The sequence below is a fragment of the Homo sapiens genome, chromosome 18 (assembly GCF_000001405.40).
Source record: "Homo sapiens chromosome 18, GRCh38.p14 Primary Assembly".
Lineage (NCBI taxonomy): Eukaryota > Metazoa > Chordata > Mammalia > Primates > Hominidae > Homo > Homo sapiens.
The window spans coordinates 34,208,134-34,232,020 of NC_000018.10; the positions used below are offsets into that span (position 1 = coordinate 34,208,134).

At 38.3% G+C, this 23,887-nt stretch overlaps 1 protein-coding gene across 25 annotated transcripts in view, besides 1 other annotated feature; it reads right to left on the reverse strand.

The window, feature by feature from the left end:
* NOL4 (nucleolar protein 4) overlaps nt 1-16,780 on the reverse strand; it is a 373,814-nt gene extending 357,034 nt beyond the window's left edge. For 10 of the 25 annotated variants that reach the window (XR_935261.4, NM_003787.5, NM_001384473.1 and 7 more), the window contains exon 1: nt 14,857-16,780. Coding sequence is in view for 15 of the 25 variants with exons in the window: in NM_003787.5 (NP_003778.2) it covers nt 14,857-15,120 (264 nt within the window). In the remaining 10 variants the exon portion in view is untranslated. Of the gene's footprint in view, nt 1-13,886; nt 14,338-14,856 lie in introns of those variants that run through there. The other 15 variants (NM_001198548.1, NM_001198546.1, NM_001353232.1 and 12 more) reach the window with 7 other exon arrangements.
* Nucleotides 14,014-14,515: an enhancer, noted in NCBI's record as "H3K4me1 hESC enhancer chr18:31802111-31802612 (GRCh37/hg19 assembly coordinates)". NCBI's record gives its function as "activates a minimal SCP1, AML or CMV promoter by ChIP-STARR-seq in naive H9 embryonic stem cells {active_cell/tissue: H9 hESC(naive)}" and the evidence as "EXISTENCE:reporter gene assay evidence [ECO:0000049][PMID:30033119]".
* Nucleotides 16,781-23,887: the final 7,107 nt, after the last annotated feature.

Consider the following 23,887-nt stretch of genomic DNA (forward strand, 5'->3'; position numbering starts at 1 on the left):
GGGCAAAGGAAACTCACCCCTTGTGCTGTGTACTTGCAGTTGACATCCATCCTCATTTACCCTGCTATTGTTTGTTTCTCAGAGTTCTCAGGGAGTTATGTTGTATATTCCTTCCAGAGTTTTTAGTATAATCAGTGGAAGGGATTGTTCATAGTGAGCTTAACCAGCACTGGAACCCTATGGTAGTTTTCTAGAAACAAAGACTCATGAGCCCTACCCTGACCCAGAATGTCCATTTTAGCAAGATCCTCAGGTGACTGGTAAGCATGGTAATAGATGAGATGTCCTCAGCTAGATGACAAGAAAAAGATTAAAAAAAAAAAAACTCTCAGAATCTTACTAACAAGATTCATATAAAGTCCTCCAAGGTTCAAAATGTCAGTTGTAATATACAAACAGACACATATACATTTTTAAATGAAAACTGTAATTATTGGCTGAGCGTAGTGGCTCACACCTGTAATCCTAGCACAGGATTAATCCTTGGGAGGCCAAGGTGGATCACCTAAGGTCAGGAGTTCTAGACCAGCCTGGCTAAAAGGTCAAACCCCGTCTCTACTAAAATCACCAAAAAAAAAATGATCCGGGCATGGTGGCGCATGCCTGTAGCCTGAAATGCTTGGGAGGCTGAGGCAGGAGAATCACTTGAACCTAGGAGGCGGAGGTTGCAGTAAGCCGAGATTGCGCCACTGCACTCCAGCCTGGGCAACAGAGCAAGACTCCATCTCGAAAAAATGAAAAGAAAACTGTAATTATCATAATTCATTGGGAAAGGGGATTTAAAGCAAGAAATAGGCCAGGTGCGATGGCTCATACCTGTAATCCTAGCACTTTGGGAGGCAGAGTCAGACGGATCACCTGAGGTCAGGAGTTCGAGACCAGCTTTGCCAACATGGTGAAACCCCTGTCTCTATTAAATATACAAAAATTAGCTGGGCGTGATGGTGGGTGCCTGTAATCCCAGCTATTCTGGAGGCTGAGGCAGGAGAACTGCTTGAACCTGGGATCTGAGATCACACCACTGCACTCCAGCCTGGGCGGCAGAGTGAGACTCTGTCTCCAAAAAAAAAAAAAAAAAAAAGAAATAAGTAAAATCACATGTTATATAGAAATGGTAAATAAAATTACACTACATATACTTGATTATTTGTAAAGGCTTATTATGTAGCAACATTGAGAAATGTTGATGGTAATAATTTTGATAAAAAACAGCAGAATTGAAAGTTATATTTTAAACCATAACTCTAAAAAATATGCTAGGTATTATATTTTTTAAAATAATCCATTCATTAGGCATGATGAATGGCAAGAGAACTAGAATGGATGAACAGGATGGCAAGAGAACTGAAATCCAAGAAAAAATGGTTATAGAAAAGGGAAAATTCTAAGCGAGTCAGGTTATAGTGGACTCCCTAACATCCATTTGCCCTCCTCTTCTCAACAGCCACCCAGTGATTATATTTTTGGAGGTCTCATTTGTGTATATAGACTGGTTAAAATATAGACTCTGAACTCAATCAAAACTCACAAGAAATTGAAGTAGTATAAAACCTAAGATTACTTAATTTATACTGAGAAATAGAACTGCTAAATAGTGCCATCATTGGCAACAGTTCAACCCGTGAATTCTCTCTGGTCAAGGCAGTTAGAAACGCAAATAATTAAAAGGGGTTAAATATTGATTTAAAGGGGTTAAAATAATGGCAAGTATTTAAGGGTTCTCAGGCTCTTATGGATATAAATATTTTCCTCAATAATAGGGATAACCCTTCAGGAAACACTAAGTTCCTCAGTTATCAAGACAATAGATTATTCTATGGGCACATCCAATATTTATATCTTTAATTCATAGTTCTATGGCTGACCAAAAACTTATTAACACTTCCTATGTTAATTTAAAAAGCTCTTGTTATCAATTGTGAAGCTGTTCAGTCACAAGAAGTTAAAGTTGGAAGGCATAAAACATCATATATTTCTTAATATTAAATTTCCATTTAACATATACTAATGTATAATTATTTGCTAAACTTTTGTGATAGGACAAAGATCTTTAAGTATGAGTCATTAAGCATGTTGAGCATTGCAAGTGTATAACCCTTCCAAGAAACATTGTCTGTAATTTCCAGTTTCAATTACTTTAAAGTAGAATGGGAAGTTAGTAATTACTTGTAAAGCAATCTAAGTAGTTCAGAATTCGAAGTTCTCTTTTTTTCCCATAGGTCTTTTTAGTAACTCACCCTTATTTTGAGTCTTTGTAATGCACTGAATTTAAATTTTGCACTCATTTTCTCAGTTTATGATATATTTAAATCACATAATTATAAGTGAAACTAGCAAAAAATAGTATGGGAAAAACATAACCAATGCTATGCCTGCAACTCTACTGTATGTGCACAAAGTGCAAATAACTACAGAGCAGATCACTATGAGTGAGCCTGTCCATGCCCTGGGTATCAGTCATTATGTTATACAGAAGAAAGAGAAAGTTAGTGTTAGTTCACTAGTGAAGCTCTATTAAAAGAGCTTTTAGTAAGTTTTCAAGCAAGTTACAGTCTGGTCATACAGTGTTATAGCCATTCTGTCACTTTAAAGTGACTTTGGATATCACTGTATTAACTATGTTGATTAAGTTTTAATTTTAGAGAGTGACCTTTTTTATTTGAAAATACTAGGCATTTACAACAAAGTAATGCAAATTAGCTAAAGGGTACTTATAACACCTAATTTTTACATTAGAGCACCATTTATAGTGGAATAGATATATAATTTGTTTATATAAGGACAGAGAAAGTTTAAGAAAAAGTTTTTTCTTGTAGTAGAAAAGCATGCCCCCTCTGCTATCTTATCATGAATTTGTAGAAAAATCCTCCTTTACGGTGGAGGTTGCAGTGAGCCGAGATCGCAGCACTGCACTCCAGCCTGAGTGACAGAGTAAGACTCTCAAATAAAAGAAAGGAGGGAAGGAAGAAGGAAGGAAAGAAGGAAGGAAGGAAGGAAGGAAGGAAGGAAAAGAAAAATCCTCCTTTAATAGGTAGTTCAAGGTAAATGTCATCTTACCCCTGTTCAAATTACTGCTAATTATGAATTACATATTCTAAATTAGTAAGAACAAACAAATAAACTAATTGATTGTGATGGTAGCTTTTACAGAGGAAAAATGAGCAACAACATAGCAAAAATTCTTTCTTGGCCTCAGGTAAACAACAATGACCATGTAAACAGAGTGCTTAGAGAACAATGACCCACATCTGATATTCAAACAAACCTTTGATATTAGATTTGAAAAATCTCATCTAATTAGGTCAATTGGGTAGAGCATGGCGCTAGTATGACCAGGCTAGGCCTTAGATCCCCATATGTGCCTCTTAGCTTTACCCCATGGCCCTAGATTAAACCCCTAAAACCCTTCAGCCATCTGGCAACTGTAGTTACATCCAGTGAGAACCAATAAGGTTGTTCCTTATTCTCAAAATTAGTCTTTCAACTTCTTAAATTTATTCTCTGAGTTTTTCTCAACCTTCCAATTTTCTAACAGCTCCAAAACACTTCAAAAACTCGTAACTGTGAGAATAACTATCACAAATGAATATTTGATTAAAATTAGAAAGAGTGGAACATAAGAGGCTATTGAATAAACCTCAGATAGAAAGGAAGAAAATCAAAATAAAATCAACGTAGAGAGGAGAGACTAATTTACAATTTCCTCCAGTATCTTGACAAAAGAAAAAGACTTGCCAATTACTGCTATTTTTTATATTCTATTCCCCAAATGTTAGGTAGATCTTCTTCAAAATGTGTAATATTTAAATAAGTTAAAAAAATAAAATTATAGAATGGTTATTTCTAATAAATGAGAACAAATATTATATTGTTATATTTTCTTGTAAGTTTTCAAAAATCCTTTAATGTAAATTAATTATAATTATGAGAATAACAATTTCCTTTGATATGTGTACTTGTCTTTCTCCATCCTACTGCTAAAACAGTAAGCTACCTTGTATTCTACTCAAGAGATGAATGGAATATCATGAAGTAAATAATGATCAAAAATAAAAACATTTAGAGAAAAATCAAAGTAACTTTTATATACATACATATTCCTAATGACAGTCATTAGTCACTAAATATGTCAAATAATCTGTGAGAGCTTACATCTTTTACTAAATTATAGACCATCTCATCAAAAACCATAGAAATGGCAATACATAAGGTATTAGAGAAAAAGAACATTTAAGCTATTTTCAGCTGTATCCTAAACCACAAATAATCTTGGTCAAATACGCTTGTTAAAAATTGACCTGTTAATTACACACATGTTTTTGGTAAATTTTACATTAAAGAACTATGTATCAGTTCCATTTTATGGTGTAACAAATTACCACAAATTGAATGGCTTACAACTTCTCAAACATTATCTCATTTTCTGTGGGTCAGAAGACTGGCATGTTTTAACTGGGTCCTCTGCTCAGGTTCTCATAAAGCTGAAATCAAGGTGTCAGCCAACTGCATTCTCATTTGGAAACTCCACTAGGGAAAATCCACCTCCAAGTTCCCTCAGGCTGTTGGCAGAATTCATTCCCTTGTGGTTGTAGAACTACAGTCCCCATTATTGTGCTCGTTGTCAGCCAAGAGTGGTCTCAGCATCCAGAGACTGCTCTCAGCTCTTAACCACATGCCCCCATTCCATTTCAGCAAGAGAGAACTTCTGCAGCAAGTACATTTTAGGTTTCAAACCACCCTGACTTCCCCTTCTTGGACTAGCCAGGAAAATACTCCCTGCTTTTAAAAGGCTAATGTGATTAAATCAGATCCCCATGAAAGGCCCCCCTTTCTTAAAGTCAGCCTTACCATATAAGATAATAACTATGAGAGTTATGGGGCTCGTCATGTTCACAGATGCTGCCCACACTCAAAGGAGAAGGGATTATACAAGGGTGGGGGCCATCTGAGACTCATCCTAGGATTCTGACCACCACAATGTACAAAACACTGAAGAACCCTTCATGGTAGATAGAGGCATATGGTTATTGCCAGGGTTTGAATGTGTTCCCCGAAGTTCCTGTGTTGGAAACTTAATCTCCAATGCAACAGTGTTGAGAAGTGGAACCTTCAAGAGGTGATTAGGTCCTGAGGGCTCTGTTCTTATTTACTTATTTATTTTTATTTTTTCTTTTGAGATGGAGTCTCACTCTGTCACCCAGGCTGGAGTGCAGTGGTGCAATCTTGGCTCACTGCAACCTCCGCCTCCCGGCTTCAAGCGATTCTCCTACCCCAGCTTCCTGAGTAGCTGGGACTACAGGCACACGCCGCCACCCCCAGCTAATTTTTGTATTTTTAGTAGAGCCGGGGTTTCACCACGTTGGGCAGGATGATCTCGATCTCTTGACCTTGTGATCTACCCGCCTCAGCCTCCCAAAGTGCTGGGATTACAGGCATGAGCCACTGCGCATGGCCTCTGTTCTTATGAATGAATTAATGTCATGATCTCTGGAGTGAGTTCCTAATAAAATAATGCGTTTAGACCCCTTCCCTTCTCTCTCACAAAAGGGCTCCCTTCTATTTTCTGACATGGGATGAGGCAGCAAGAAGGCTTCTTGGACTTCCCAACCCTCAGAACTGTAAGAAATAAATCCTCATTCTTTATAAATTAACCATTCTGTTATAACAACACAAAATGGACTAAGACAGGTATAAAATCAAAGAAGTATAATTAAGAAAAAATGGGGTAAAATTTAGAATATTGCATTCAAGCATGAACCTAATGTTTTGAGAAGCATTTGAAACATTCATTTTACTTTTAAAAGGTCCATATTTAAATAAGTACTCCATATAGAATTCTCCACTTGAGTTTTTAGTAGGATTTCTCCAATGGGAAATCTTTGTAGTTGTGAATGTACTAATAACTAAGAGGTCAACAATTATTCCTCCTTAGTTTCCCTCTACATATAAAAATATTTTATTACAAGATGACAGAAAGTATTTTAGCTGAGTGTAAAGTCTTAAATTCAATGTTCTCTGAGAGGCAATATGGTGTTATAAATTAGAATAAGGTATTCAAATTGGTATGTGTACACTCAGGCAGTGCATAAGATAACCTATTGAGGTGAAGAAGGAAATGTTAAAACTTGGATTTATATATATTTTAATCTCAGCCCAATATATTTGTACTTTTAAATATAGTTTATAATGGGTTAAGTATTGGTAGAGTGTTATATAGATGTAGTTTATAAAAGTGTATATACTGGGGGAATCTTTTTTAGCAAATGAGTTACGTTATCATTAGAATTTGGAAACCAGTGATTTAAAGCAAGGGCCTTAGAATCCAAATGGTTTCTTGTCCCAAGCTGTGTGATTTTTAGAAATTCACCTTAATGTAAACCATAATCTTCACATAAGTATAATAAAAAGTGTTAATACCATAGGACTATTGTGAAGATTAAAGGGACTTTTTGTTTCAAATTATTATTATTAGTAGGGAGATCCTCAAAAAATTAGAACTACCATATGATCCAGCAAACCTGCTTCTGTGTACATATCCAGAAAAATTGAAAGTAGGGTTTTGAGGAGATATCTGCCCACTCGTGTTCATTGCAGCACTACTCACAATAAAAGAAGTACAAGCAATCCAAATGGCCATCAACTAATGAATGGACAAACAAAATGGCATATACCTACAATGGAATATTATTCAGCCTTTAAAAGGAGGAAAATCTTGTCACATATAATTATAACATGGATGAATCTTAAAGACATTATGCTAGTAAAATGAGTCAGTTATAAAAAGACAAATTCTGTATGATTCCACTTATATGAGGCATCTAAAGTAGTTCAATTCATATAATCAGAAACTAAAATGGCACTTCACCAAGTGATGGAGAGAAAGGAAAAAGGGGAACTGTTGTATAATATAGTTTCTGTTATGCAAGATGAAAAAGCTCTGGAGATCTGTTGCAAGACAATGTGAATATACTTAACACTACTTAAGTCTACAATGTAAAATGATTAATATGGTAACTTTTATGTTGTGTGTTTTTTTTATCACAATTAAAACACATAGTTGGATGGATGGACAGTTGGACAGATAGATATAGATGTAGATAAAACTAAAAAGCTCTTGTGTGGTGGTAAATAAGAAGCTGTTGTATAATGTCCCATTATGTCATGTCAGATTGGGAAGTGATTTTTATTTATTCCATTAATACTGAACATCAAAATGCATCACCCATTATGCCAGGTACTGGAGATTAAATCTTTCTTCAAAATAGTTTTGTGGAAATTTAACAAATTATTAAGCAATAGGCATATTTTATTATATGGTGAGAATCTGATGGCTTCAAGAAATATTAGTTTAGTAGAATCAACCAACAGTTGAACATTGACTATAAGAGGGAGAAATCAAGGCTGCCATACAAATTTCACCTTGTACAGGTAAGTAAAGTTGTGCTGCTATCCATGGAGAGAGGGAATAAGAAAAAGATGTGTCAGCTCGGAGGACCTCGGATGGGAAAATGGAAGGAAGAAAAATGTGTTTCTAGACATACTTAATTTGAGATATTTTGGGATATCTTGGTGAAAACACCCAATAGAAAATCGAAAATACAGCTGACCCTTGAACAACCTGGGGTTAGGTGTACTGACACCCTCTGCCCCTGAAAACCTGCATATAATTTTGCTCCCCCAAAACTTAACTACTAATAGTCTACTGTTGACTGCAAGCCTTAGCAAAAAGATAGTCTATTAAGCCATAAATAGACTAGTGCCTGCATAGATTTTAAGCATTCATGGCATATATTTTTCTTAGATTTTTTATATTTCTAGATTATGCAGTTTATCTGAGAGTTTTTTCAAATTGTTATATATTTCCAAAAATTTTCCAAATACTTATTGAAAAAAATCCACATACAAGTGGACCCAGGCAATCCTGACCTGTGTTGTTCAAGGATCAACTGTACAGATTTAGACTTCAGAAGATATACATTATGTCACCAGAACACAGGCCTAACTGAAGTCATAAACAGGGGCACAGTTACGCAGGACAAAATATAGAGTTAGACAAGAAATTCAAATATATCTTAGCAAAATAATTTAATTTCAAGGATAAAGAAGTAAACAATTCATGAAATTTGGGAAAATCAATTTGCCTTAGAATTTTACAGAGCACACACAATATCTATAATGTTCTGAGAGAAAAAGTAAAATACAGAATCTGCATCTGGTTAGTTGTCCTTCAAGGATAAAGGTAAAAGACAAATACTCTCAATTGTATATAAAATTCAAAGAATAGAGTGCATGGACCTACTTTAGGAAAAAAATGATAAACTGTAATTAGAGTCAATCAAATCAAGGAATTCAGAGGTAAAGGAAACCAGATAACAAAACAGATAATAAACATTTAAATAGGAAAATAATGTTTAAAATGAAATTACATAATTTAACATTAATATCAACAACCCTGACAACACAAACATAATTATAATATAATGAATATAATAAATTATAATATATAATAAGTATAATATAATAAGTGAAATGAAATGTAAACCAGGATCTAAGAAACAAGGAGGTGGGAAGAAGTGAAAATATGCTTCTCATTTATCATTAGAGAAAGTCAATAATACTTATAAAACGGAAATTTGTAATTGGTAAAATAAGTGTAATTCAACATCTTAAAGTTTTTCTTAATCTTTTCCATTAACTTCAGGAATAAATATCTTTGAGAAGAAACATTTATCTATTAGCAATTCATTAAATTTTATGTATTTCTTCTTTTGTCGCATTGACAATCTTATATTTTCTTATTCTTACTTAAATTAGCATATCATCATCATCCTAGTTTTAGAAAATTATTTCTGCCTGTCCATATGCAACTATCAGTCATTTTATCGACTCTTCTTTTGGCATATATTTCTAGAGAGGAATCTAGAATGATGTTCATAATTAGCTTACGGTGATTATATTTTGATGGGACATTTGGTATGACTTTTTCTTTATTTCTTTCCTTTTCATTTAACTTTTTTAAAAAACTGAGACAGTATCACTTTTACAATAACAGTCATTTTTTCTTCCAAAAATGGAGTAGGTAGAATAAATCTTAATAATACATATGTACATAAATACATACAAGTATACCTTGTATTTCTTTCTTTTTTTTTATTTATTTATTTTTTTTGAGATGGAGTCTCACTCTGTTGCCCAGGCTGGAGTGCAATGGTGCGATCTCGGCTCACTGCAACCTCCGCCTCCCGGGTTCAAGCAATTCTCCTGCCTCAGCCTCCCGAGTAGCTGGGACTACAAGGGCACATGGCCACACCCAGCTAATTTTTTTTGTATTTTAGTAGAGATGGGGTTTCACTGTGTTGCCCAGGCTGGTCTCAAACTCCTGAGCTCAGGCAATCCGCCTGCCTCAGCCTCCCAGAATGCTAGGATTACAGGCATGAGCCACCGCGCTTGACCTTGTATTTTAGCTCCGTGTTGCAATGTGATTTTGAGTTCATAAAATATACCTAATTATAATTACATCGTGATTTTCATGTTCTATGAATCATATTTTAAGCAACTTTTTTTTTTAGCATTTACTATGTCCCCGGCATATGCTACATATACCACATGCTTGTGTGTATGTGTGTGTATATGTATGTGTATATATGTGTGCATATGCATATATAGTATATGTTAGTATATATTATATACACTACTAACTATGCAAAACTAGTAAGACTAGTATTAATACTAACATTTTACAAGAGGAAACTGCATCTTTAGTTAAACTTTAGCCGACCCAGAACTCCAGTAAACGTCAGAGCCAGGATTTAAATTGTGCTGTAAAATCAACACTCTACTCACTATGCCATGTTTCTTGCCATCTATGCTATCCATGAAGTTTGTTTTATCTTGTTATATAAAGATTGTAAAAATGAATATAACCTAAAACATAGTAGATTCACATTCATCTTTCCCAGTTAGACCAAAAAAAAAAAAACAAAAAACAAAGAGTGAAAGTCTTAGCAAACACAACAGCTATTAGGAAAAGGTCTTTATAGACTTGACACAAAATTAAAGTCCTTGAAAGTTCTCCTGCCATATGCCTGTATTTTCTACTTCATCATTCCTCCGTCTTATGCAGTGAGTCTAGAGAGTAAACCCGTAGGGAGCAGGATCCCAGCAAACTAAGGAAGATTACAGAAGAAATATATACGAGTGCCAAATCTTGCCCCATCTCCCTATTGTGGCTACTAATAGGACAAGGAAGAACCAACGGAAAAATAAAAAACTGGTATCTCAAGAAATAAGTGTGGGATAGTCTTCATACACGAACAGGGTCATATTTCCTCTTTATATTCAGAGGAAATCTCCTGCCCCTTAATACTCAAGCCAGAATGGCCTTTACTACTGGTCCCCACTGTTCCCTGCGAGCTGACCTATGCTGGGGACTTGTCATAGATGATTTATTCTTCACAACTCCACAAAGAATCACTAAGTCAGCTAATAAGCCACATTGCTGATATTCATTCTCGGGATCTATTTGACCCCCAAATCCTATGCTACAGGATCTCCCAAAGTACTTTAATGAAAAGAAAAATGCATGGGCTATCAACAGCAATGTCCACTATAGAAGCAAAAATGTGCTTCCATCTCAGTGACCACTATGATGATTTGTCTTTGTGTCATAGATACAAAGTATCATGATAAATAACTGGGTCTGTAGCAGATTCCAGATCAAGGCCTAATATAGGTGCCTTAGGCATAAAGTTAGGCCAGGTGGAAAGGTATACAGGACTCCTCATGGGGTATTATTTCTTTCACTCTGATGTAGCATAAAGGATTTATGACCAAAACCACAGTCAGAAAAATAACAAAAACAGTTACTGTTTATGAGTCAGTCCATGAATATTCATTATAATCACTGTACAGTAATCAATTAGTAGTATGCACAGCAAGAACAATATGAAATCTGAGGCTACAGATTGCAGAACTGAATAAATCATCATTTGTAAATAGCACAACTAAAGATAATGCATTTTCCTTTCTGGATGGAAATTCATTTAAGACCTGTATTGGAATAAATATAAGAAAGAAATATATATAAGAAAGGCATAATTTAGACCTTTGTGTCTGTTCCTACAAATATAGGTTAAGAAAAGTATTACATCTTTTGATTATACAGTTTCAATATTCATATTCATTACTTTCTTTGCTTGATACTGAAAGACAAAAACATGAGCTTACCAAATTCCTAATGTTTTATACAATGCAGAGGACTTTTTAAAAAGAGCGTTTAATAAATTTTCTCCTTTTCTAAGTTTACCATTCACAATATCAAATGGTATAATGTGTTCTGGTAGTTTAAACTGCAAGTGTGATGTTTCCACTAATTGTTGCCAGAAAACGTTAATCAGGATCAAAAGCTTCTAAAAACAAACTACACTGGAACTACCAAATGTGTAAAACAGAGTTACCATAGTTAAGTGAATTTAAAACTATCGCTGCTTAAAAGTTGGATGTAATCAATGTCAACCATTTGCTATATCGTTTTCGGAACTGTTTTAAGTCATTCATCATTTCATTCTTCTAAATTTCTGACACTTTTAATGAAAGAATGTATAAAAATAACAGTGGTACTATCTAAAAAGCAGATGGGTTGCTCAACAAACTGCATATGCGCGTGCGCGTGAGTGTGCAGTGCAGGCGGGCTCGCAAAAGCACAGGTCCCACACCAGACCTAAAATGGCTGAGTTGCCGGATGTTGTTGCTTGGTGACCAAACAGTATCTACTCCATCAAAAAGCAGTCTAAACATCAGTGGCAGATATGTCCCCTCAGGTTTAGACATGACCAGGACAAATATTAAAGGACATATTTATCCTTTCCAGTAGTCAATATTTTTATTTTAAGTCAGTTGTAACTTGCTCGATTTTATCATCAGTTAAGTTTAGGCTTTAGGGGGAAGAGTAGTTGGAAAGCTATATTTCTTTTGGGAAAATAAGAGTAGAACCAAGCTTCTTTAACTATGAGACTTAAAGATAGTCTTGTTTCAATTAAGTCTATGTGGTGTGTCTACTCTGTTCTAGTATAACCTCCCAGGTGCCATCAGTCTCTCTTTCTTTCATTAAACTAAAGTAGATAATTAGCCTCAGCCTGTCCTCTCCCCTTTTCTCTTTCCCTTTTCGCAGTAGTAATGATGTCTAATTATCAGCAGCAGTGGATTACTGCAACATCAGGAGCAAAGCATCTCTTACTGACAGCAAAGCCAGCCGTGAACCCTCAAACCTCAAGCAGCTAAGAATGATTCTTAGTCTGCACGAAAATACCATTCAAATACAGTATTTTATTTTGATCAATATATGCCTTGGAATTAAGAGAAAATATATTTTTGTCTTCTTGGTGACTGTACTCCTACCATCGGAAAGAAAAATCAATGTATCATTAAGGAAGGAATAATTTGAAATGTAGGGAAACACATGATAAAAGGGGATCCTTTATTTTTTAACTCATTGAAATGATGATTGGCTGTCTCTCAGAGAAGGAGGAGCCTATAATTCTATGTCGGGAGCAGTATAAAAATTTTATAAAGAGCAATAGACGAGTTCATAAATTAAAAACCTCTTCAATATTTCAAAACAGGCTTGAATGAAAAGCAGAGCTCTTAAATACTACATGAGAACCATTATCTAACAATCACCTGATGAATTATATTCTCTCCCATAAATATATGGAATCTTTACTGAATAAACACGTGTTACTTTAATATTATCCCTGAAGTTGTCACTCTATACTAGATGTCTTAGCAGTAATTCTTTAGCTATTCTGCATAAATTTTTGACTGAAAATAGTGGTATATGAATGCGTGAATGCTAGTTTGAATAACTGACATTTATGATGATCTTAGTATCTCTAAAATTGTTCAGAATTTATGTTATTTAAAATAGTCAATCCTTTAAAAGGACACATATGTTAACACATATAGTGGGTGTAGTCAAATCCATATGAGTATAAACTCATTGTACCAATATCCACGTGAAGCTATCTGACAGTTAGAGGGACCTAAGTTTAACATAAAAGGAATGAAAAATAAACTTCCCAACTAACAGTGTTTCTTTAAAACATACATGATATTATGAAATAATACCTTAAGTAAAGATATCTTAAATGATTTTATCCATTCAGTTAGCTCAGTTTTGTCCAAAGGAAAATGCATGTTTATGTTTTGAATTCTAACAATAAATTATTTTTCTACATCATTTCTTGATATTATTCCCAATACAAATTAATCAAAGCACTTCATTCTGTATATCAGATTTCTGGCTCATCCAGATGTAAATAAACCTCAGTTCTAAATCATGCCAATCTAGTCCTCATTATTTAGGAAAGCCAGACAATAATCTCACCATTGTCTTTAGTAGTGCCACATGCTAAAGGAGAAGACACCTTTATAGGTCCAACTCTTAGAAATCTCCCAACAATAGTACATTGTTAAAAAAAAAAAAAAAACCACCACAGAACTTTTATATGTGTTTCCATTTCACTTTTACTTTTGGTTCCCAATTTCTATATAAATTCTAAAATAAATATACATCCTTCAAACAACTATTTCTAATTAATCTCAGGAAACCATAAACTGATTTCCAAACCTAAAAGACCCTTCCAAATAATGCTTTAAAAAAAACTTTTCATGCACATATTTTCAATTCAATATAATATACCTCCATTAGAGATAGAATAGCTTTCAAAGCGTCTCCTTTCTAGCATCCTCCAGGAATACTGCACCGGGAAACAGTTGCCAGTACAGGAGGGGGGAAAGGAAGAAATGCTCAAGAAACCCCAAAGCGAGGCAAAAATACAAAGGATGCCAGATAGCCTCCCCCATCCCTACTCCAGGCGAGTACCCACCGTGGCATGATGCAGAAAGGTCTCCTGCATCAGATCTGCCATCCTACTTGTAGCCCACAGTTCCCATCTTCTTGTGAAGAAAATCGACGCTGCTGCGGCTCCCCAGCCCCACTGGCTTCTGCAGCGTGAGGCTGAGATGCATTGGGCTCTCAATGCCAGTGCCTCGCGGCGCCTGGGCTAGAGCTTTGTGGCCATGAGACTAGAGCCACCCCAGAAAAAGGAACAAATACACACACCATTCGATAGCGCCTAAACCCATCTTTCTTTGTTGTTCATCTTCTAGCTGCGGCTTTATTTGTGGAAGAGGGAAGTGAGGAAGGGAATGGGGGGGCGGGGAGGAGGAATCTCCAGGACCTTATCTACAATCTCAACAGTCGCGGCAACGATCTCTGGGAGTGATCGAGGCATTCGGGCTGCCCCGTGCCTCCCGGGCAGCGATCTAACGATAAAACCTGACAGTGTCCTGGGGAAAACCCCACATCCACCGCTAGCGCTACATTCGGGCTTTATGCCAATAAGGAGACACTGTAGACTATCGATCAGACTCGTCTGCTCTCAGAGCGTGCGGCCGGGCTTCCAGCCTGGCCTTTAGGCGCGGTGGCGGCGGTGGGACACGCGCCAGGCGCCCAGAGAAGGACATGGGACAATGGCCCAGCCCGAGGACGCCAGACGCCGCCGCCCGACCCGGGGAAGGAAGCTCCTGCAGCCGGTCCGGGAACCCGAGGCGGGGAGGGAGGCCAGCTCTGGAGGTGCGCTGCCGCTTTAAAATAAAGGACCACAAAGACTGTACAGTGGGGAAAACGCGCCTGGCTAATGCGAGTGGGGACGACTTGGGGAGGGGGTTGAGGAAGGTAGGGGGCACACGAGCCAACGGCGGCTCACGGCTCCCCCTCTCTCCCGCCTCTCTCCTTCCTCCCTCCCCGCCGGGCTGCTCCGGCAGACAAATAACAGAGGAAGGCGAGTCACTCACCGTGGTCTTGACAGGCACGTAGAGCACTTGCTTGGCGCCGCCGCCTCCCCCGCGGACCTCGTCCGGCTGGCCCAGCTGGAAGCCCTTCGATTTGACCCAGAATTTAAATTTGGCGTTGTCCGTGGAGCTCGACTCGGAGCCATTGAGGAGCTGGACGATCCGTTCGTATTTTTTACGGGTCACCGTCTTGGTCTTGCCTGAGTCCCCGTAAGTCCTGAGGCACCAGTCCTGGAACTGGCGGTACATGTCGCGCTCGCTCTCCATGTTCCCCGCGCTCGGCCGCTGGCCGGATGCTCCCAGCGCACTTCGCACCTGTTCACCCTAGGCTCATGAAAAATGCAGCCCCGGCCACGTTGCAGGGATGCGAGGTCCCGGCCGCAGCGGGAGCCTGCTTTGGGTGGGGGAAGGGATGGGAAGAGGGGAGGAGGGTCCGGTTGGGCACCAGCAATCAATGCCCCGTGCTACCAAGTCTGGTCCATTCGTAATTGCAACGGCTGTCTCGGACGTTTTTCCTGTTCCCTTAGCGGTCGGTCTCTTTAATATTTTGTGACCAGGACCATCCCAACACCATTCTGGCCCAGAGGAGCTGGGTTTTCAATAATTAAAATCCCATTCCTTGGTTTATTAAAAATCCCAATATTGAATTGGGGTGGTCCCTAGACGCCTCGCCCCCGGGCTGCGTCCGGGGCTGGGCAGGTGGAGCGCAGCGCCGCCTCCCCGCGCGCGCCCCAGAAGCTTCCCCAGCCACTGGCCCCGTGGTCCAGGAGTGAGGGCTGCGCCTCTCCCGAAAGCAGCCGCCCGCCCAGCGCCTTTGAGCCCCGAAGGGCACACGGGTCCCGGATCTCTCCTTCCTCCTGGGTCCTGCTTTGACCTTCCCCACGACGGGTGTTAAGGGACTAGAAAGAGAAAGTTCTTACCTGTCATGTTTTTAAACCTATCAAATTCTGTTTTACAGAATTTTTTATCAAGATATTTTTTAAAACGGTTTAAAATGTCATTTCTTCAGATGCATTTTGAATAAATTCCAGCCCTGTATGTAGATTCTACGAGTTAAGTCCCAGAAATTAGCAAAGCATTGATGGAGATTTGGCCATAGTTCTACAGGATAGATTGTAGTGCCCCAAACAGATATCCGTTCCAGGGGGATGTGGGTAACCGAAGGCAGGCCGCTGGCGGCGGGTATCCCGAATAATGATGGGACCCCCAGACAGGACTCCTCTGGTTTCTGCTGAACAAGACATAGAAGTAAGTTTAGGATACAGATGCTTGAAAACCTTTGCACGAAATTAAAATATATACAGAAAGATCATTTTCCCCTTGCTTGGTCACAGTTTGCAGTTCACACGGGAGGTTTCAGTTGTCTATTTTCCCCCTGCCACGTCATGGACACCCCCTCCACTGCTCTGAGTAGCCAAATATGAGTTCCTCTGGACTATTTTTCCAAGCAGATGAAGTCAGCAGTTGCTCCATTCAGGACTTCCATCCATTTGTTTCCAGAGCTGGAAATAGGGGAGTTCCCATCCTCCTCGCGCGGCGGCTGCGGCCGCTCCTCTTTATTCTACTCTCACCCGAGGCCCGCGCCCGTCCCGGGGAGCGGCTCTGCCAGGAAAACGGCCCGACCAGTGCCCGGCGCCTGGGCTGCGTCCGAGCCCACCTTCTTCCCTCGTCGTCGTCTCCCAGACTAAATCCCGGAAAGGGAAAGCGGGATGTTTGCGCCCACCGCGCTGTAGCTGGTCCTGACACTTGCAAAATGGTCAGTGGCTCCTGCTCGGCCAGGCTGAGTGTGTGCGTGTGTGTGAGCAAGGGAGCGAGGGTGTGCGGTGTGCAGGGGGTGCGCTGTGTGTGCGCGCGTCTCCGGGAAGGTCTCGCGGCGGCTGGAGCCGGGACTGACAGCCCGGGCGGAGCGCAGGCAGCTCCACACGCTAAACCTCTCGCCTCTCCCCTCACCCCCACCCCTCCCACTCCCCTCTCCTTCCCCCACCCTCCCCGGCCCCTTCCAAGCTCTCTGATTGGCCAATGGGACAAAAGTTTCTGTGGAGACGGCTGGGCGCTGACGTCACGGGCAGAATTGTCCCATTTAGGGATCCCGGGGGCAGTGCGCATGCTGCAGGCTGCAGGTTAGAGGCAGAAGGAGGTAGCAGCGGGCCCGGCGGCAGCCAGGTGGCAGAAAGGAGCACGCAGCATCCAGGTGGGGGGACGACTCCAGCAGGGTTTCCATGGAGATTCCTCTGGGTCTAGCCTAAAAACAGCAGATCAGCTGACACCATTAGCTCAGGACCTAATTACTGCTTATTGGAGCAACAAATGAGGGAAAGGGCCAGCTGCAAAGGAAGAGTTTTTATCCCCCCACCCCATTCCCCCATCTCCTTTCTCCCCCTCTCTCCATCCCTCTTGAGTCCCGGGTGAATTCTCATTAACTTGCAAGATTCCTGCAACAACAGCTCCCCTTCTCCAGAGGCCACCCCGACTGCTTTTATTCTTTTATTTCCTTCTTTTGTATTAAAAAGAAATGCTAAAATAAATCAGTTGTTGAGTCCTTGAATTTTTGTTCAATACGTATTAGACCATAGAGCTCAGAGAAGACACTGTCCAATGAAGTCACAAGTGAATCTAATACAAGGGACTCAGGGGAAAAATATCACTTTCAATTTATTGAGGTGAATCTTTAGATATTTCACATTAAAAAAATCTTAATATCTTAAATACATAAATATTTGAAACACGCAATTGGACAGAAGATATCCTGAACCACCCTTCTAGTGGGGTATACTTCACAGGAGCAACTCTGTTAAGTTTCCCTTTGTGGCATCAGAGCTCAATTTAGTTAGATATTGGTCATGTGTTTCCTGGAAGTTTCTGGAAAGATAATTGGTCCTGGGGTAGTCATTCAAGAATAAGCTGGTTCTATAGAATTCACTTTCTCATATGGTTATAGTTCACAATTATAGAACTATTTTATGCAGCTTTTCATCTAAAAAGGCATCCCATCCCCTCTAAGCTTTATTTATGTACTTTCAGCCTCCAAAAACCTTCCTTAATCATTCAACTTAATATTAACTTTCTTCTATAATCATCTGTATTGTGTCTTTCAAACATTTTTTAGCCCTGTCTTGTAGTAAGCCATACACTTTACATTGACATGTAGTGCATACATACATTTGTTCTGCAAAAATTTTATGAAAACATCTATTTTATTACCTGCAATATACACTGATATTTGCCTTTTTCTCTCCTGTTGATTTTGTTATTATTATTTGGTAAAGTATAGTCCCAACCAAAAAAATTTATTTTATGACCCAGCAAAGAATGACTGGCAACCTACAATTTGAAAAATATTGTTTTAGATCATAATGACTACACTGCTCCTTTTACCTTATTTATATTTTCATATGAGTATGTTTTGTTGGTCAAATAAAATCTTAATTGGAAAACCCTTGAAAGTTTATGTCTTTTTTCTTGTTTTGTGCAATGAACAATGTGCACAGTAAGTGCTTAATAAATTGAGTTAATAAATTAATGAAAGAAGGAGAACAAGAGTAAGGGAAGGAAGGAAGAAGGTAGGCATAATCTTTGTCCATTCTTGTTGGCTTTTGCTGGGTAGTGTTTGGTTGAAGTTGGTCCCCCGTCTTAAGGAAATGACAGGGCTTTACCACACACACATGTGTTCATTGTATTTATAACTATACTTGACACCCTAATGCATAGCAACTAGAACACCCTAGACATACAGAACTCCCAGAAGATAAATATGTCATCAACCCCCACTTGTATTCACTAGATTTGATATACAAGCACAAAAACCCCACAAAATGAAATAGATTATATGAAATACATTCTTTTTAAGAAGAAAAGGTAAATGATTAACTACTGAAAGACTGTTTGCATTGGAGGAAAGGAATACAGGGTTCAAAGATTTCAAGGGTCCTAAGTCTCAGAGCCCTGCAGATTCTCTTGTTTTCAGTGGAACCCAAAGTGTAATATGCTCTGTACTTGCACCCATTATTAGTTGTGCTGGCTGAGCCAACACCTTCAACCATATCTTGTCCACCTAGGAAGGTAGGCACCTAACAAAAATCTAAAATCTGCTTCAGCAACTTACTCTGGACTAATTTTCCTTCTTTGAACTTCTCTAGAGTCAGGTCTGACCAGCCCCATCTCAGGGTCATCCTGAGCTGCTTCCTCAGCTATATGGTTCATGTGAACAGGCTGCCTGGGATTTAACCTGGTATGTTCCCAGGACACTTTCCTCAGAATTGCCTGGCTACAAAGCATATCTCTCCGAAATGTTTTTCTTCACCCCTTCTGAATGCCAATCCCCAATCTGGGCCCAGGGGTCCTGTCTGCCTGGCAGGCAGAGGAAGAAAAGAGAGGAAGAGGAAGGCAAAAAGGTATGTGAAACTTATATTTTAATTTAAAATAATCCAAAACGTGGGCTATCATCAATATGATTTTTGTTATAGAAGTAAAATTTCTTCCAACTTCATGGTCAGTTTGTAAATGACATTTTAAAAATCCAGAAAATCTTGCACTTTATTATCAATCACAAATATTTACACAACACTATGTGTTCATCAGCAAAATGTTAGAGTACAAACAACATAGAATCTGTAATCAGAAAATCCATGTTCAAAGAATAAACAAGCTTTCATTCCTTCAAATAATTGTGGTTTTTATTAAACAAATATTAACCAAGCTTCAGTTACTCTCACAGGTTCTAGGGTTAACGTCCTCAGCAAGACAGATGTATATGCATGGTTCCCATCTCATGGAACATAAATTCTTCTAAGGACAGCAGACAACAAAGCAAGAAATAAATAATTAGAGCTTTATGTAAGTGCTGGGAGGGGGAAAAATAGCAGCATAAGAGAAAACAGTGACAAGGTAGAGAGACTTGATGAGCTTAGGGAAGATCTTTCTGAGTAGGTAACATTTATCATGAGACCTGAAGATTCAAAGGAGTCAATTATGTGAAGCCAGGAAGGTGAACTATAGGCAAAGCGCAAAGGTCCTAACGTAAAAGAACTCTTGGCATGTTTGAGGAATAGAAAGAAGGCCAAGGCAACTGGAGCTTGAAAGAGAAAGGTAGAACGTGAGATCTGAGTAGACTTCTGCAGCCAGATCTTGTAGGGCATTGCTTACATTTTATTGATAAGTGCTTATATTTTATTGGTCCAGTGGAAAACCAGTAAGATATCTCAGGCAGGAGAATTATATGATATGATATGCATTTTTATTAGTGTCACTGGCCACTTTGAGGAGAAAGGATTGGAAAGGGACAAGCATGAAAGCAGGAAGACCAGCTAGAAAAAATGGTGATAGTTGAAGTAGTAGCTTAGATGAACTATTACGGCGATAGATTAGAGTATTAACAGAGGAGGTAGAGGGAGAGAAGTGATGGGTTGAAGATACAGTTTAAAGAAAGAATAGAGCTTCCTGAATGTGTATCTCCTCCACCCCCCTGCCCCCACCCCACAATCCATATGTTGAAATCCTAACCCCCAAGGTGATGGTATTAGGAAGTGGCACCTTTGGGAGCTGATTAGGTAATGAAAGGAGAGCTGGTCATGAATGGAATTGGTGCCTTCATGAAAGAGGCCTCACAGAGCTCCTCTGCCACTTCCTCCATGTGAGGACGCTGAAAAGATGGCCATCTATGAAGAGGAGTCTCACTAGACATCACATCTGCCAGCATCTTAATCTTGGACTTTCCAGCCTCCAGACCTGTGAGAAATAAATTCCTGTTGTTTATAAGCCACCCAGCCTATGGTAGTTTGTTATAGCAGCCCTAGTGAACTAATACACTGATGGACTGCATGTATCAGATGAGAGAAACGATTGAATCAAAGACGACTACATGGTTTCTGGCTTTAGTAGTGAGGCTAGTGAAGCCATTGACTTACAGAGAAATGTTTGGGGGAGGAACAGATTGGGAGTTGGAGGCTGAGGGAGGAGCAGAAGCAAGTTGGGGTGGAGAGGCAGGAAGAAAGAATTTAATTTCAGAGAAGTTAAATTTGAAATACCAGGAGAGTTGTTCATGTAGGAATTGAATATAGAAGCTTGAACTACAGAGAAAAGTCTGGATTGGAGATATAAATACAGGGAATTTAAAGCCATAGGAATGAATGACATCACCTTTGTCCACATTTCCTACAAAAAGGGAAAGCCCCCATCTTTTGATATTGAGTTTGTATATACTAATACCTTATGACTAAAATAGAATGTCATGTACTGAGCAGCAGAAGTTGGCTTCTATTGATATAATACTGGTATTGGGAAAAACCTGAGAAAAATAGCAAAGCAGTTTGGATGAATCCTTGACTAGACCTAAACTGTTAGTAATTTCCAAATTTACATGGACTTAAAATCATTTAAAACTTAAAAGTGAAGCTGTGAAAGCTTTGGTTAGACCTATTCTGGATTAGATCAGGACCTGGAGGCACGCTAAAATAGGAATCAAATTTTAGGATGTCCTATGATCACATTTCCCATTGAAGGGGTTGACTAGAGACTTGTCTACTGAGTTAAGTTCATAAAAGAATTTGAGCCTTTTAGCTAGATTAGAGATTATGGAGCATGGTACTTGCTACTTTGAAAGCTGAGGTTCTGAACGTTATTATGCATTCAGAGGGTTAAAAGTCTATTAATAATCCCGTCAAGGAAAAGAAAGTTGTAAAGGAAGCAAATGACCAACTCAATCAGCAACTTGATTATGACATAATTTATTAACTTTTCAAAATGACACAAAATAAACAAAGCAGAAATGCCCTGTTTATGCAGGTAGAGAAATTTGGAACTTTGTAGAAATTGTCACAAATCTGATTTTATTAGTTGACTTCCAATGTATTGACTCTTCTACCAAATAATTTTGAAAAGAGCCTGTCTTTAGTATGCAATAGCTATCCTTTAATTAAGAAAAGAAACACTTTTGAGAGAGTTTAAATATTTTTCTGATCTTTATGGCGGTGATTACTAAGACACAGAAAAACACATATTTTAATTTGTGAACTGTAATATCAGTATCTTTATTCCACTTTCTAACCCAAAAGAAAAGATTAAAAATTTGATGTTTTTTGTTTTGCCCAAATTTACTGATATTTACGTTTTGTAAGAATTTCATTACATATTATGCGTTAACCAAAATTTAATTTCCATAAATACTTAAGTGTGCAAATTAAGAACACATTAGATTTGATAGTCTAGTTGATTTTCTAAATTTCTCTTTAATTTCTACTTTTAACATGATCCTATGAGCAAGTCCATGGTACAGCCAGTTCCTGCATTTTGACAGTGGCATATGGATTTATTCAACATTCATCCATCCGACATTTTCATCTAGCTGCAATAGCTATGATAAAGTCCAAAGTTAACAGTCTGGTGTTCGTGTCCCTTGTAACAGAGAAGAAAATACATTTTTTTCTGGACCCAAATATTGCTTTATTTCCCACTAGCCATATGGCTTATCTTTTCTTCCAAAATATGTCTTAAAACAGTAATCCACATATTCGTCCTCAACTCAGTGGACAGTACTATTATAGAATTTTTAGATTATTTTTAGAAGTTATTTTGTCATAGAAAATAAAAACTATTTGGGGATGAAGGAGCAACACACCTATGCTCAATTCCCACTATATTTTCGATACTTCCAGTTTTTATTCTGATTTCTGCTGAGTGAACCAATTCATATCTTACCATCATCATCTAGCCCTTATATCTTATTTAAAGTGCATGATTAATCATTTTAGGACATTTGTTTAACTTGCAGTATAAAAGTGACAAGAATGGCACACAAAGATTTCTTGGCTAAAACCACAGACTCCAGAAATAGTTTTTACAGGGGAACCATCTGAGCTTAAACACCAGAATCTGTAAAATAGTGGTAACAATGCTAACTTTGAAATAAGGGAAGCTGAAGGAATAACCACCCCCAGTTTTCCTGGGATCATACTAATAGGATTTAAGAGCAAGGTAAGAAAAAAAAGTTTTAGATTTCCCTTTTATTTTTTGTCTTCTAAAATGAACATCCCCCAAGTCTTTAAGAAAGTCTTTAACTAATCTTCTTGATCAAAAAACAGAAAATATTTAGATGTTCCAAAAAAAGTGCTTATAGTAGTTTATGTGGAGTTTTGGAAATGAAAGCTAACTTAAAAAAATTAAGTGTTCATGTTAAATGCAAAAATACATCTTAGGCAATTCAACTTCAACTGTCTCCTTTCCTGATTTTGCTAACCTGGTAAAGAAGAGCACCAACATGAGGGTGATACACTTGCATTTATCTTAATGAATGTTATTTTTGGATTGAATCAATCTTCAAGGCACAGTCTTACACATTTGTGCATGAGATAGAATTTGTCTAACATATTGTACAGCATAATTTATTAATAACCTCACTAGGTACAATGAAGCTATGAATCAATTGAACATTGAAGAGTCATGTTAGCCAGTAATGTATAATTTGGTGTGATGATTGGAGCAAACACCTACACAGAAAGGGAAGATGGAACAGCTCCTCGAGGGTCAATGGTAGAGAATGGGTTATGAAGAAAGCTGTTTGAGAGAATATTTATGGGTGTATGTGTACATGTAGGAAAACAAATATAAATGAACTTTGAAATATGGGTGACCCTTGAAAGTGCAAGATTTATTTCAAGAACACATAACAGTTTTTAATGTTTATGCACGCAACAACAGTACATCAAAAAATGTCAGGCAAAAATTGATAGAATTGCAAAGATAAATAAACAAAGCCACTACTATGGTTGAGAATTCAACATTCCCCTGCCAGTAATTGATAGACAATGCAGGCAAAAAGTCAGTGAGGCTATAGGCAACCTGAACAGTACTATCAATCAACTTGATTGAAGTGATATGTTTAGAGTATTCCTTCCAACAACAGCAGAATGCACATTCTTCTCAAGCTCACATGGACATATACCAAGGTATAACACATTTTGGATGAAACAACAAAACTCACAAACTTAAAAGAACAGAAGTGATACAACATATGTCCTCAGACCACAAGAAATTAAATTAG